Source organism: Homo sapiens, chromosome 12 (assembly GCF_000001405.40).
Source record: "Homo sapiens chromosome 12, GRCh38.p14 Primary Assembly".
In the NCBI taxonomy this organism is placed as follows: domain Eukaryota; kingdom Metazoa; phylum Chordata; class Mammalia; order Primates; family Hominidae; genus Homo; species Homo sapiens.
Window position 1 is genome coordinate 27483459 of NC_000012.12, and position 16917 is coordinate 27500375.

The window sequence follows — 16917 nt, forward strand, 5'->3', positions numbered from 1 at the left end:
CCAGGCTGGCGTGCAGTGGTGTGATCATAGTTCACTGCAGCCTTGAACTCCTGGGCTCAAGCGGTCCTCCCACCTAAAGCTTCCTGAGTAGCTGGGACCACAGGTGTGCACCATGATGCCCAGCTAATTTTTGAAACTTGTGTGTAGGTAAAGACAAGGTCTCGCTTTGTTGCCCAGGCTGGTCTCCAACTCCTGGCCTCAAGCAATCCCCCTGCATGAGCCTCCTAAAGTGCTGAGATTATAGGCGTGAACCGTTATGCCCATCCTTTTTCATTGTTTTTTAAAAATAGTTAATTTGGCTTAAATAGAATGATTCTTAAACTATCACTATCTGCCTTCAAGTAATATTTTACCTCTTACATATGCTGTACTTCTATGTCTGTTCTCCCGGCCTTTGCACTACTGTTGGCGTACATCTTACTTCTGTACTGAATATAAGCCCATGATACGTCAGGGGTTTTTGTTTTGTTTTGTTTTTTACTTTAAATGATTAACTATTGTTTAAGGTGATTTTTTAAAGTAAGAAAAAAATTGTTTATATTTACACACATATTTACTATTACCAGTGCTCTTCATTCATTTGTATGCATACAATCTATATCTGGCATCATTTTCCTCTTGTTGAAGGGCTTTTAAAAACTATTTTCTGTGGCCAGGCATGGTGGCTCACACCTGTAATCCCAGCACTTTGGGAGGTCAAGGTGGGTGGATCACCTGAGGTCAGGAGTTGGAGACCATCCTGGCCAACATGGTGAAACCCCGTCTCTACTAAAAATACAAAAATTAGCTGGGCGCCTGTAATCCCCGCTGCTCGGGAGGTTGAGGCAGGAAGATTGCTTGAACCCAGGAGGCAGAGGTTGCAGTGAGCCAAGATCACTCCACTGCACTCCAGCCTGGGCAACAGTGCAAGACTCTCAAAAACAAAAAACAAAAACCCAAAACTATCTTCTGTGATACAGTTCTACTGGGGATGTGTTCTTTTAGCTTTTTATGTCTGAAAAAAAGCATTCATTTTGTAAAGATAGTTTTGCAGAGTATATAATTATATACTGACATTTTTTTCTCAGTACTTTAAAGATGCTGTTGAAATCTGGTTTGCGTTGTGCCTGACAAGAAGTTGGCTGTCATTCTCTTCCATATTTTTCTACAAATAAAATTTTCCTTGCTCTATTCCCAGCTGTTTTCAAAATTTTTAAAAAATCTGGCCAACATGGTAAAACCCCATCTCTACTAAAAATACAAAAATTAGCTGGGTGTGGTAGCATGTGCCTGTAGTCCCAGCTACTCAGGAGGCTGAGGCAGGAGAATTGCTTGAATCCAGGAGGTGGAGGCTGCAGTGAGCCAAGATCGTGCCATTGCACTCCAGCCTGGCGACAGAGTAAGACTCCATCTCAAAAAAAAAAAAAAAAAAAAATATATATATATATATATATATAGTTTTTAATCATTTTTATATGATCGACCTTCATGTAGTTTTCTTAATTTTTCTTTTGTTAAGTTGCGTTGTGCCTTATGGCTCTGCAAGTTTGTAGTTTAAATTTGGAAAATTTGAGCCATTATTTCTTTAAACATTTTTTTCTGTTCCCTCATCTCACCATCAAGGATTTTAATTACATGTGTCTTAGGCCACTTTAGGTTGTCTCATAACCCATAACTCACTGATGTTCTGGGCTTTTTTTTTCTCTCTTTTCTTTCTGTGTTTCATTTCAGACTTTCTATCACTATATCTTAAAATTCACTAATCTTTTGGTTCTGCGGTATCTGATATAACATTAATCCCCTCCAGTGTATTTTTCATCTCAGACACTGTAGTTTGTGTCTATAGAAGTTTGATCTGGGTCTTTTTTCTATTTTTCATATCTCTCCTAAATGTACTCATGTTTTTCTCTACCTTCTTGGACAATAAAATATAGTTACAACTTTTAAAATAACCTTATCTACTAATTCTATCATCTAATCATTTTTAATACTGCCTCTATTTATTTTTTTAAGTTTTTTTTTTTTTTTTTGAGATAGAGTCTCACTCTGTCACCTAGGCTGGAGTGCAGTGGCGTGATCTTGGCTCACTGCAACCTCCACTTCCTGGGTTCAAGAAATTCTTGGCTTCCCGAGTAGCTGGGATTATAGGCACGTGCCACCCATACCTGATTAATTTTTTTAGTATTTTTAGTAGAGATGGGGTTTCACCGTGTTGGCCGGGCTGGTCTCGAACTCCTGACCTCAGGCAATCGGCCCACCTCAGCCTCCCAAAGTGCTGGGATTACAGGTGTGAGCCACGGCACTCAGCCTTTTATAAGCATATAGACTGTTGCTTCCTGCTTCTTTGCATGCCTAGTAATTCTTTACTAAATGCCAGACATTGTCAATTTTACCTCATTTGGTTTTGAGTATTCTGGAGACATTTGTGTGTACATTTAAATTTTGAGCTTTGTTCTGGAACACAGTTAAATTACTTAGAAGTGGTCTGACCCTTTTGAGGATTGCTTTTAATTATTGTAGGGCAGGACCAAAGCAGCCTTTAGTCTAGGACTAATACGGCTCCACTATTGAAACAATACCTTCTGAGTATTCTACCTGATGACTTGAGTATTATAAGAGTTTTCCACTCTGGCAATTATTCTCAGCACTGCTTGATCTTTAGAGATTGTTCTGCCCACTTCAATCTGCTATGATTTCCCTCCCATTTCAAGTAGTTTTATCACACCTGTGTGCTAATCAGTGCCTCAGCTGAAGGCCCAAGTGGGGCTTTCTCAAGTGGGAAGATCTCTGGAGCTTTTTCTCTGTGCAGCTCTCTCCTCTTTGGCACTCTGCTGGGCAAATCTACTCCATGTGGCCTCCCTGAGCTTCTAACTTCATCTTCTCAACTCACGGAGACCACCAGCCTTCTCCTGCATCCCCTTTCTCTGACTTGAAGTCGGGAAACTCTTTCCAGGAGTAACTTGAAGTAACTATAGATCCCATCTCACTTGTTTCCCACCTGAGGGATCCACGTTCTGCACTGTCTGTTGTTCAACGTCTGAAAACCATTGTCTCATATATTCTTTTCAAGTTTAAAATTGTTTAAAATGGGAGGCTAAATCCAATTCCTGTTACTCCATGTTGATTGAAAGCAGAAGTACCCAAAACATTAAAAACATTCTAATTTTTAATGGATTTCCTTGTCTGCCTGCAAATCCACATTACATTATAATCTTCAAAAGGGCAAAGACCTTTCTTATACTATTCTCTATTTTAATCATCAGCATTCAGCATAATACTTGGCACATAGTAAATGCTGAACAAATACCTTCTGAATTAACGTTATAAAATATTTGGGCCAGAGGGCTTTACAGTTTGCAGAGACCTGTAGACCAAAAACTAGAAGGTAAATATGAAACTAGTCACATTATTCTTCTTTATTAATTCTCCTCCTTTTTTCTTTTGCAACCCTCTTTACCTATGCTTCCATTTTTATTTTTAACTTTTTATTTTGAAATAATTATAGATTCATAGGAGGTTTCAAAAATATATATGCAAGGAACCCTTATTTTCAGCATTCCTGAATGGTAGCATCTTGCCTAACTTGGGTATGCCATCAAAACCAAGAAACTGACATTGGTACAATCCAGAGAGCTTATTCAGACTTCACCATTTATACATGCACTCATCTGTATGTGTATAGTTCCATGCAATTTTATGAGATGTTTAGCCTTGCATGACTATGACAATCAGATCCTCAACTGAATCATTGCATAAGATGCACTTGTGTTACCCCTTTATACATATATTTCCTCCTACCCATCCCTAACCCCTGGCAACCACAAATCTGTTCCACATGTCTATAATTATGCTATTTCATGAATGCTACATAAGTGAAATCATGCAGTTTGTCCTTCTGAGATTGGCTTTTTTTCACTCAGGATAATTTTTTTGAGGTTTATCCAAATTTTCGCATGTATTGATCTTTCCTTCCTTTTCATTGCTGAGTAGTCTTCCATGATATGAACCTATGCAGTGTGTTTAACCATTCATCCACTAAAGGACAAATGTGTAATTTCCAGTTTGGGACTATTATGAATAAAGCTGCTTTGAATATACGCGTACTATGGGAAATAAGTCTTCATTTCTCTGGTATAATTACCCAGGATGAAATTGCTGGGTCATATGGTAAGTCAGTTTTAAGTTTTGACAGGAACTGCCAAACAGTGTTCCAGAGTGGCTGAAACCTTTTGTTTTTCCACCACCAATTTATGAATGATCGCGTTTCTCCACATCCTCACTAGCATTTGGTGTTATCACTATTCTTCTTTTCTTTCTTTTTTTTTTTTTTTTGCCATTGTGACAAGTATGTAGTGATATATCATTGTGGTACTAATTTGCATTTCTCTAATGGCTAATAAGTATTGACCATCCTTTTGTATGTTTATTTGCTATCTATATAGCCTCTTGGTGAAATGTCTGTGCATGCCTTTTGCTTATTTTCTAATTGGATAGGTTTTTTTTTAATGTTGAGCTTTTTTTGAGATTTTTATATAGTCTAGATACAAGGCCTTTGCCATATATGTGCTAAGCAAATATTTTTCCCCGTGTGTAATTTGTCTTTTCATCCATTTAACAGGGTCTTTGGCCAAATTAAGGTTTTAATTTTGATGAGGTTCAATTATCAATTTTCCCTCTTACAGATTATATAATTGATGTTAAGCCTAAGAACTCTTCTCCTAATCTTATGTCCCCCAAATTTTCTGTGTGTTTTTTTCTTAGAAATTTTATAAACTTATATTTTAACCCTTTTAATTTTCAGCTCCTGTGTCCAGTTAGGCCTCATATCTCTTTAATATTATCTAGATTACTTAGAGTACTTTTTACTTTTTTGAATTTCATTTACTTCCCATTGCAATACAAGCACTACCAAAGCATCCTTTTATATGGGAATGGTATTTCATTTTTGAAAGATCAAAATTACCTCCTCTCTTGGGTGATTTTTCTTAATCTGCAGGCCTTAGTATCTTGGTCTGTTTGCAGCTTATTAAAAGACATGCTGACCCTGAAGGGTCAAATTGAAAAGCTGGAGGACCGGGGCCTTGACCTTGATCAAGGGACAAGCACTGAGGTAAGCTAGAGACTTGGGAAAGACTGAGAGGTTGGGGATTTCTGTCACTTCTTTCCCTACTACCTTTCTATTGTTAATAGGCAATAACAAGAAGTAAGACTCATAAGCAGGAGTGCTCTCTGGTGGTCACGTCTGAGCACCCTTTTCCTGAGTAACACTGCTTTTATCTGATGACACAAAAAACCTAGACTTTTCTACTTTACCTAGAAACTCGGCTACCACGAAACTCTATCTTGTTGCCACCTTAAGATGAGTACCTTAAGGGAGAATTGGTTTTCTTAATCTTTGTATGTCAGCACCTAACGGTACAGAGAATACATCCAGGAAATAAATATTGGTCAAAAACTGCATCCTTAGAGTGCAAGGGATCTACCTGTGTTTGTCTTGGATGCCCCATGAAGAGTTCTTGTGTTGGTTTTCACAATCTCCAGAGTTTTCCTGATGTTGTGTCTCCTCACACTTCTTATAGACTCTTCTCAAATTAAGGTTTAATTTTCCACTTTCTTTCCTTTTTTTTTTGAGACAGAGTCTCACTCTGTTGCCCAGGCTGGAGTGCCGTGGCATGATCTTGGCTCATTGCAATCTCCGCCTCCCGGGTTCAAGCAATTCTCATGCCTCAGCCTCCTGAGTAGCTGGGATTACGGGTGTGTGCCACCATGTCTGGCTAATTTTTGTAATTTTAGTAGAGATGGGGTTTCATCATGTTGGCCAGGCTGATCTCGAACTCCTGGTCTCAAGGAATCTGCCCACCTCAGCCTCCCAAAGTGCTGGGATTACAGGCATGAGCTACCGCACCCAGCCTAATGTTCCATTTTCTTATTAGTAATAGAATATTAGAGCTGAAAGGTAGAGATCAACTTGTGACACAAGTTAGATTTCGGAGTCCTGGCTGATAGTTTTTCTGGCTTGAAGAAAGGTCCCTGAAAAAGAAAAAAGTCTGTGTCTAACAACCTCTTTTAACTGAAATTGCCAGCTTCAATTTTAACTCAAGCCCAAGAGTTTAAATGTGAGTAGATTTTGGAAGCAGTAAAAGAGAAAATTCTCTTTTATTAAAGGAAGGTGTCATTTATTTGGACCTCTTACATATTAAAAGTAACTTACAGATCAGTGCAAATCTATTGCCTGGGGGAAAAATTACTTTTAACTGATATAGTCCAACATTTTGAGTCACAATCTTATTTTGTGTGAGTTGAAAGAGTTTTTTTCACTATCTTTGGGCTTTGGAAATTGCAAACTATAAAAAAGGGAAGAGGACAAAGGCCAAGAAATATTCTGCTTTAGAGAATTTCCTCCAAAATCCAACTGTTAGTATTACAAAAATGTAGATTTCAGTAGCAGGTGCGGGGAGGGAGGAAGGAGTATCAAAAGACTGAGGAGAAAGATAGAGAAACACATACATAAATGAAAGTGAGATTTTTTTAAAGGGAGGAGTTTGGAATAATATGCAAGAGGAAGGCATCACACACATATACGGAAATTCTCTGTGCTGGGGATACACAGTTTTATGTACACATTAAAAGCAACAAAAAACCAAGCACAAGCTTAAAAACTAGAAACAATTCAAATATCTGCCAGTTGTCATTTGGATAAACTGCAGTACACGTACGTGATGGAATACTACTCAGCAATAAAAAGGAACAAACTTCTGATTGACCCAACAACATGAATGAATCACATGCATTACAGTAAGTGAAAGAAGCCAGATTCAGAAGACTATTTACGTACTTTGTGCTTCTGTTTATGTAACTCTGAAAAAGGCAAAATTGTAGGAACAGAAAATAGATTAGCAGTTAGTTTCCCAGGTTTAGTGGAGGAAGGGGGACAGGGATTGACAAAGGGGTATAAGGAAATTTAGGGGCTGATGGAAATATTCTATATCTTCTTGTAGTGGTTATTACACAACAGAATGCATTTGTCAAAATTCATAGAACTGTATACTTTAAAAAGTGAGTTTTACTGTATGTAAATTATATCTCAATAAATGTGTCTTCAAAAAAATGGCACAAGTTCTGTCTCAAGAAGCCTACAGTCTGATAGAAAAAGCTACATAAAAACAAATGTGGTAATATATCTAAAGGTGAAGCTTTAAATGTAATTGTTGGCTGAATGTGGTGACTCACACCTGTAACCCCAGCACTTTGGGAGGCCAAGGGAGGAGGATCACTTGAGGTCCGGAGTTTGAGACCAGCCACGGCAACATAGCGAGACCCCTATCTCTACAAAAAATTTAAAAAATTAGCCAGGCATGGTGGTGCATGCCTGTAGTCCCAGCTACTTAGGAGGCTGAGGTGGGAGGATCACCTTCTGGACTCAGGAGGTCAAGGCTGCAGTGAGCCATGATCAGTGAGCCACTGCACTCCAGCCTGGGCAGCCGAGTGAGACACTGCCTCAACAAACCAACCAACCAGCAAACAACAAAAACAACAAAATAAATAAATAGGTAAAATTGTTACAGAAGCAAAGTTAGTAGCAATGGCTGTAGGCTTATTCTGGTGAAGGGAAAAGTGAAGATTGTTAGAAATAGATACAGGAATAGCAAATAAAATGTGGGAAAATTAAAGGAGAAATTAGTTAATAAAATTAAAATAATATCACATATATTGGCTCACTTATTCCTCATAAAGAAATGGAATAACTAAGAAAGGCATGAAAAGAGAAGGAGGGAAAATTGGTGAAATTATTTTTTAAAAAAGCAAAACAGAAACGAAAGTATGTGAAAGAACTTCAAGCTACAGAAAGGACTTTGAGGTGGCCTTTGGGTGTTATTTGGCCTAATATTGAGCCCCCAAGCCATTACACTTTCTAATAGAATTTCCATGTGAATTTCTGGGCTTTCATTCAGAGACTGACCTTGTCCCAGTTATCTTTGATAAGTGCTGTATGAAGATGTTTACTCTGTAAATAAACTAGGATACCAAATAAGAGGTGATTGTCACAGCACAGCTCCTCTCTAAATAATTAAACCACCCAATTCAGGGATTGATGATGAATAAACGTGTTAAAAAATAGCTATACTGTATATTCTCTAATTCACCTATAAGCTACTTGAGGGTAAATATTCTTGTTACTTGTATCTAACTAGCATGATGCCTAGCGCAATGGCCACTTACATAGGATGTGGTCATTATAAATATATATAATGTATTTTATATATATATAGATCTTTTTTTTTTTTTGAGATAGTCTCATTCTGTTGCCCATGTTGGAAGACAATGGCGCTATCTCGGCTCACTGCAACCTCCGCCTCCTGGGTTCAAGTGATTCTCATGCCTCAGTCTCCCCAGTAGCTGGGACTACAGGGGCACACCACCACAGCTGGCTAATTTCTTTTTTTGTATTTTTTGTAGAGACGGGGTTTCACCATGTTGGCCAGGCTGGTCTTGAACTCCCGACCTCAAGCGATTCTCCCACCTCAGCCTCCCAAGTGCTGGGATGACAGGCATGAGCCACTGTGGCTGGTTGCATGCTTATTTTAACAATTAAAACATTATGAAATGATTTCATATAAAAATGAAAAATATCCTCCTCCCTTAAAGACAAACACAATGAACGTTTTAGTATATTTATATTCTTCCAAATTTTTATACATACATTTACACATTGTTGTTTTGATGGGATTGTATTATACATATTGTTTTGCAACTGCTATGGCACTTAGCGTATTTTCTTCAACAATTTTCTATGCTAGTAGATGTCGTTTTACTTTTTTTTCACTCCTATATAATGCAGGGCTTGATATTTGAATTTATGAATTTTATTTTGTTGGATATTTGGTACTTTATAATCAATGTTTGCCGTTACAAACTATGCCTCAAAAATCCATGCCTTGATTGCTCTTGCAAGTACTTCTTTAAGCATCTATTTCTGAGGCTGGGCATGGTGGCTCATGCCTGTAATCCCAGCACTTTGGGGGGCCAAGACGGGTTGATTGCTTGAGCCCAGGAGTTCAAGACCAGCCTGGGCAACATGGTGAAACCCTGTCTCTACTTTTCAAAAGAAGACATACATGCGGCCAAGAAACATATGAAAAAAAGCTCAATATCACTGATTATTAGAGAAATGCAAATCAAAACCACAATGAGATATCATCTCCCACACTGGTCAGAATGACTATTATTAAAAAGTCAAAAAATAACAGATGTTGGCCAGGTTGTGGAGAAAAGGGAACACTTATACACAGTGGGTGGGAGTGTAAATTAGTTCAACCATTGTAGAAAGCAGTATGGCGATTCCTCAAAGAGCTAAAAGCAGAACTACCAGTCGACCCAGCAATCCCATTATTGTGTATATACCCAGAGGAATATAAATCACTCTACCATAAAGACACATGAACGTGAATGTTCACTGAAGCACTATTCACAATAGCAAAGACATAGAATCAACCTAAATGCCCATCAATGACAGTTGGGATAAAGAAAATGTGATACATATATACCATGGAATACTATGCATCCATAAAAAAGAACGAGATCATGTCTTTTGTGGGAACATGGATGGAGCCGGAGGTTGTCATCCTCAGCAAACTAACTCAGGAACAGAAAATCAATACCACATTTTCTCATTTATAAGTGGGAGCCAAATGATGAGAATTTATGAACACAAAGAAGGAAACAGACACTGGGGTCTACTTGAGGGTGGAGGGTGGGAGGAAAGAGAAGAGGAGAAGGGGTAACTGTTGGCTACTGGGCTTAATTCCTGGGTGATGAAATAATCTGTACAGCAAACCCCCATGACATAAGTTTACCTGTGTGACAAACCTTCACATGTACTCCTAAACCTAAAATAAAAGTTAAAAAAAAAGAGAAAGAAACCTCATCTCTACAAAAAATAAAAAACTAGCTGGGCATGGTGGCACATGCCTATAGTCCCAACTACTCAGGAGACTGAAGTGGGAAGATCACATGAGCCTGGGGAGATGGAGGCTGCAGTGAGCCATGATCACACCACTGCACTCCAGCCTGGATGTCCGAATGAGACCTTGTCTCAAAAAAAAAAAATTAATTTCTATAAGTGTCATCTTTGGAACTCATTTTTCTTGAATCCTAGTATACTCTTTTTCCTGCTATATCTCTGCTTTTCAGGGTATCCTGAACGTCTCTTAGTGGATGATTAATTTAAAACCTTTAAAAGCATTCTTTACTTGTGACACGTGCAATTGGCATTCACGTGTTAGAAGGTGATGGTTTGCTTTCAGCCCATGTCTTGTGCTTATTGACAGAAACCAGCCAAAACCATCTGTTGTCTCCACCTGGCAACCTATAGGAGACATGGGAAGAGAAGAAGAGGAACCAGATCTTTTTGTGGACAGCTCTTTTGCAAAGCCGTCCGGCCTGAATATTCAGTCTGACATAATGACTTACATTCATAAATTCTAAAATGTTAAATATTTAAAAGAAATATTTTCTCAGAAACATAACTATGTTTCTTCAACTTGTGTCCTGGTAGAAGTTTTTTAAGGAGCAAGGAAGGAGTAATGAAGAGAGAAGCATGATTTATTATTAACTGCTATTGTGTAAATGCATACCTCTAAAGTATTGAAAATAATCTTGTTATGTTAATCTTATGGTTATACCACTTACAGTCTGCAATTTATGATTACACTATGAATTTGCTCTAAGAGGAAGAAGTTTACAAAGTAAAAGTAAACTTCAATGAAGCATTTTATAAGGTTTGTCAAAATAAGTGAGATTTTATTGTACAAACCAGAAAAATATAAGTTTCATTTTACCCAGAATTGTGGATGTGTTTTTAGGTGAATACTTGTAATGAAGTTTATGAATTAAAGAAGAAAGTCATAGAAAGGCTGGAGGTAAGATTTCAGTTACACAATTCAAACAATGATAAAATCAGATAATTTATGTCTAAATACAGGGGTCATTCATTGCCTAGAATATGACGGTGCACCACATACTAGTCTCTTTCTTTTTTATTTAATTTAATTTATTATTATTATTATTATTATTATTATTATTATTATACTTTAAGTTCTGGGTTACATATGCAGAACATGCAGGTTTGTTACATAGGTATACATGTCCCATGGTGGTTTGCTGCATCCATCAACCCGTCATCTACATTAGGTATTTCTGCTAATACCATCCCTCCCCTTGCCCTGCACCCCTCAACAGGCCCTGGTGTATGATGTACCCCTCCTTGTGTCCATGTGTTTTCATTGTTCAACTCCCACTTATGAGTGTGAACATGCAGTGTTTGGTTTTCTGTTCCTGTGTTAGTTTGTTGAGAATGATGGTTTCTAGTCTTATGGCCTTCCTCCTTCCCTTTGGCCTTCTGCTTGGGCCAACAGAACATTCACAATTCCAGTGTACTCCCAAGCTCTCACCCCTGTGCTACTTCTACTTCTCATCCTGCCTTCTAGTGCTTGCCCTTCGGGTCTACATATTACCCATTCTTCAAGGCTCAGCTCACAGGTCATCTCTTCATTGAGACCTCTCCTAATTTCCATTACCTCAAAAAATAACTCCATCTTTGAACTCCTCCCACAAGATCTTAGACATTGAGGTAAATGTGATTGGGCAAATGAGACAATGAAAGAATGAATGTATCAACCTGTCAGCTGCTCTGAGTCCAACTTATCCCAACTATCTTGAGTAGATGTCCCCATCACCAAACCTCAGACACTCTCCGTTCCCACACCCTATTTGTTTTCTCTTTAGTGTGTATCTTAACATGTAATATAGAATGTATGTATGTGTTTAGCTGTTTATCACTTGCCCCCAGCCCCTGTAATAGATTGTATTCTTTGTCTATTTTGTTAACACTGTATCCTAGAACCTGTTAGCAGTAATCACCCAATAAATATGCTTTGCATAGATGAACGAGTTGAGTAGAGGAATTTAGTACAAGGACATCTTCCTACATTAATAATCTAGTGGTTAAAGATTAGCATGTGGGTTTCATTTAGTTTTCTACCGTAGTGCTACCTTACACTGTGAATGTGTATGTCTGCTTCTATTCAAGATGCACCTGCCAATGATCTGTTCATGGGACCTATGTGTGATTTCTAATGTGGGCCCCCAAGGTGATCCAGAGGAAAAGCACTCAGCATTATCTATAGTAAGACTTGGAGACATTTAGAATTTTTTTAAGGTACTTGATTACTCTTTTTTTTCAGGACCTTTGCAAGAATGTGGAACTGCTGAGTGCAAAGCTAAGGATGTATCAAATGGAGGCAGAGGACACTGACTCTCACAGTTCTGAGGAAATAGATACGGAAGAGATGGAGGCCCTGCTTCCTCAGGCCCCAGCATCCTTTTTAGTGCAGAAGTCTCCTCCCCGCAATACAGCATGGTAAGTCAGAGCAAGAGGCCATTCAGGGCTGGATGACTGCCCCAAAATGTATGGATTATGCTGGGATTGATTTTTTTCAAGTGTTGACTAAAATGTTTTGTTTTATTTTCGTTTGTAAATTATCTATGTTCTTTAAAAGTCATTGGAGTTCATTGGAGTCATGGGATTTTTCTTATTTAGATAAAGATCTATTGCATTCGATATATATAGATTGCTTTCTTACTGCTTCAGATAAATCTAAAGATTTATCTTTAGATAAATATATCTAAATATAGATAGATATATCTTCATGATCAAAGATATATGACCAAAGACCTCTTGTGGGTGGCTATTAATGTTAATTATATTTTTAGTTAGTCTGTTCCTTTTTGCCTGAAAACTCTTCCAAACAACATTAAGTCAACACTTTAATTTTAAATTTTCTTCCATGATGGCTGCAAATACAGAGAAGCTTCTCTATACATTTCTATAGATATATAAAGATTTGTCTATGTATAGAGAGATATAGATTTATTTCTATCTACATATCTATAGATGTATCTATAAAATCTATCTATATCTATCTAAAATCTTAAAAGATGGTATCTATACATGATGAGGCAACCACCTCCACTCTTATCAGTTATGTTCTTTTCATAAGAAATTTGAAAAGTTTTGTTTGCTGTGCAGGATGCCTTACCCTTGGATGGTATTGGAAACACACTACCAGCAAATTCTGGCTCTTTGGATCCTGTCCAGGAGATGCCACACCATCATTTACACCCTGAGAAGTAATTTCCTCTAAGAAAACATTTTTGATTCTTTATCTCCAACCACCAACCCAGGTAGAATCTCAGCTCTGTCTTCAATCAAGTCCTTTGCCCATTTTAAAGAATTGGGTTGTTCTTTTATTTTTTGCTGTTGAGTTGTAAAAGTTTATGTGCACACCTTGCACATAATCCTGTCGGACAGCCCATGGCATGTTATTGAAATTAAATTGTTTCACATCTGTCTTCTCCTAATACTCCAAGGGATACACAAAAGCATGAATCTTATCTTCGTAATTTGGGGACTTGACGTATACAAGATGCTCATAATGCTCAAACAGATGTGTGCAGGCCACCTCATGTTGACCATCATAGGAGAGAGCATGTGCTGCCTCTTTGAATTTGCAGGATACGAGGTGCTTAGGTTAAACCATGTAGGAGATTGGGGGACCCAGTTTGACATGCATATTCCTCACCTGCAAGATAAATTTCCAGCTTGTCTAACAGTTTCACCTCCTATTGGAAATCTTCAGGCCTTTTGTAAGGAATCTAAGAGGTTTGATACTGAGGAGGAATTTAAGAAATGAGCATATCAGTGTCACATTCTGTTCCAGAGTAAAAATCCAGATATTATAAAAACTTGAAAGTTTATCTGTGATATCTCCTGCCAATAGTTTAGTAAAATCTATGATGCTCTGGACATCTCTTTAATAGATAAAGAATAATTCTTCTGTCAAGATAGGATGAATGATGTAAAGGAATTTGATGATAGATGATTTGTGCAAGTGGATGATGGCAGAAAGTTTGTGTTGGTCCCAGGATGTTCCATACCATTAACCATGGTAAAATCAGATGGAGGCTGGGTGTGGTAGCTCATGCCTATAATCCAAGCACTTCGGGAGCCTGAGGCAGGTGGATCACTTGAGCCCCAGGAGTTTGAGACCAGCCTGGGCAACAAGGTGAAAACTTGTATCTACAAAAAAAAAAATTCAGTGACACATGCCTGTAGTTTTACCTACTGGGGAGGCTGAGGTGGGACTATCACCTGAGCCCAGGGAAGTCGAGGTTGTGGTGAGCCTGGAGATCGTGTCACTGCACTCCAGTTTGGGTAACAGAGTGAGACCTGGTCTCAAAAAAAAAAAAAAAAAATCAGATGGAGGTTATAACTATGATGCATCTGATCTGGCTGCTCTTAAGCAAAAACTATTTGAGGAGAAAGAAGATATGGTTATCTCTGGGTGAACAGTGGACAATCTCTGCACTTCCAAAAAATATTTGCTGCTGCTCAAAAGATTGGTTGGTATGATCCTAAAGTAACTAGAGTCTCCCGTGCTGGATTTGGTGTGTTGCTAGGGGAAGACAAGAAGTTTAATATATGTTCAGATGAAACAGTTCATCTCGTAGACCTGGAATAAGGACTAAAGTGATCCATGGACAAATTGAAGGAAAAAGAAAGAAGCAAGGTCTTAACTGCAGAGGAATTGAGTGCTGCTTAGACATCTGTTGCTTATGGCTGTATCAAATAAACTGAACTTTCCCATAACCGGTTGAGTGACAACATCTTCTCGTTTGACAAAATGCTAGATGACAGAGGAAATACAGCTGCTTACTTTTTGTGTGGTTTCACTAGAACCAGGTCTATTGCACATCTGGCCAGTATCAATGATCAGATGCTCCAAAAAGCTGCTTGACAGACCAAGATTATTTTGCACCATGAGAAAGAATGGAAACTAGGCCATGGCATTTTATGGCTCCCTGAGATACAACAAAAGATTTTAGATGACTTACTTCTGGTTCTTGTGGTTCTATATATGAGCTGGCAGCTACTTTCACAGAGTTCTATGATAGCTGCTATTGTGTGGAGAAAGATCGACAAGAGTGGAGAGATATTGAAGGTGAACATGTGGTGTACGCTGCTGCGTGAAGCAGTAGATGCTGTCCTGGCTGAGGAGTTCAATATCCCGGGAATAAAACCTGTCCAAAGGATGTAATCCTGCTTAGGTTTGAACACTGTATGTTTTTACCACACTGGTCACTAGCATTGTTTGCTTTTTTTTTAAATAACCATTATATTAACACAAGAACGTTTGTCAACTGTGAAAAAAAAATAACTCTTACAACTCAACAACAAAAAGATAAACAACCCAGTTTGAAAAACAGGCAAATGACTTGGATACACATTTCTTCAAAGAAGACACACAAACGGTCAACAAGCACATGAAAAGATGTTCAGCATCATTGGTCATTAAAAAAAACGTAAATCAAACCCACAATGAACCACAGTGGGATACCACTTAACATCCACTAAGATGACTACAGTAAAAAAGACAGACAATAACTAGCATTGGAGAGGATGTGGAGAAATTGGAACCCTCGTATATCACTGGTGGGATTGCGAAATGGTACAACCACTTTTGAAAACAACTTGGCAGTTTCTAAAACGGTTAAATATAGAATTACCACATGATTCCACAAGTCTACTCTTGGGTATATACTCAAAAGAATTGAAAATGTCCACACAAAAACCTGTACACAAATGTTCATGGCAGCATTATTCATAATAGCCAAAAAGTAGAAACAATCCAAATGTCCGTTAACTGATGAATGGAAAAACAAAATGCAGTGTAGCCACACAATGAACTATTATTCAGCTGCAAAAAAGAATGATGTACTGATACATACCACAACATGATCTTAGAAAACATTGTGCTCAGTGAAAGACAGCCAGACACAGAGGGATATCCAAATGATTCCATCTATATGAATGTTCAAAGTAGGAAAATCCATATAGATTCAAAGTAGATTCATGGTTTCCAGGCACAGAGTGTTGGGGAATAGGGAGATGGTGACTGCTCCAGGGAATGGGGTTTCTTTTTGGGGTGACAAAAATTTCCTGGAATTAGATAGTGGTGATGGTTGTACAGCCTTGTGACTAAACCAAAAGCCTCTGGATTGTACAATGTATAGAGTGAATTTTATAGTATGTGACTAATAACTCCAAACCAACCAACCAGACAAATAAGTAAATAGGTGAATGCCTTTCACGTATCGCTTTATTGTGTTATATCGGAGGATTATAATCAGGCTGAGTTGCTCATCTTTTTCTCACATGATTACATTCTAATTAAGATTGCCTGAAATTTTGCCCATCTCTTGTTAAAGAACTGGAGATATATTGGTTTAACTACAGCATATTTATACACTAACATCTTGAGGAAGTTTGCCTTATGGATTAATTCAATCATTATGAATCGATTTTTGCTGGTTTTAGCTTCACAAGGTGGCCTTTTATTGATAATGTCCCCTAGTCCTTCCATTCCCTTTATGGTCATCCCCTATGTACTGACCATAAATAATGTGGAGATATTGGAAAAGATCAAAGGTTTTACACGTGGCAAGGTTTGAAAATTAAATAAATAGTATTCAAAAGTTAAAAGAATATTTTATTATTTACCAAAGATGTCTAAAATGAATAAAATTATTAGTGACACATTTTTTTGGTTCTGTACAGGTGATATGAGAAAACTTATTTCAATTTAGTTAACTATTTTTTTTTCCCAAAGAAAAATGTCTAGACCTTTTAAAATGAATATCATGCTTAGTAATAGAAAATTTAAATTTTTAAAACTTGTATTGACTTGTAAATAAAAATCAAATGATTCATTACTGTCAAGAAATAAATATGAATTTAACTGTACCAAGAGTATTTACCGTAGGACAGAAAAAACTAGATGAGTATACTCTAAATGTAGGGAAAAAATTAAACTAAAAACT

General features: G+C 37.7%; 1 protein-coding gene and 1 pseudogene across 7 annotated transcripts in view; both read left to right on the forward strand.

Annotated features, from left to right (window-relative positions):
* SMCO2 (single-pass membrane protein with coiled-coil domains 2) overlaps nucleotides 1-16917 on the forward strand; it is a 78870-nt gene that overhangs the window by 60143 nt on the left and 1810 nt on the right. For 6 of the 7 annotated variants that reach the window (XM_047428776.1, XM_047428775.1, NM_001395208.2 and 3 more), the window contains 3 exons: nucleotides 5002-5089; nucleotides 10842-10898; nucleotides 12222-12397. In XM_047428776.1, coding sequence (XP_047284732.1) covers nucleotides 5002-5089; nucleotides 10842-10898; nucleotides 12222-12397 — 321 coding nt within the window. Of the gene's footprint in view, nucleotides 1-5001; nucleotides 5090-10841; nucleotides 10899-12221; nucleotides 12398-16917 lie in introns of those variants that run through there. The other variant, XM_011520636.3, reaches the window with a different exon arrangement.
* On the forward strand, nucleotides 13467-15225 carry RARS1P1 (arginyl-tRNA synthetase 1 pseudogene 1; annotated as a pseudogene).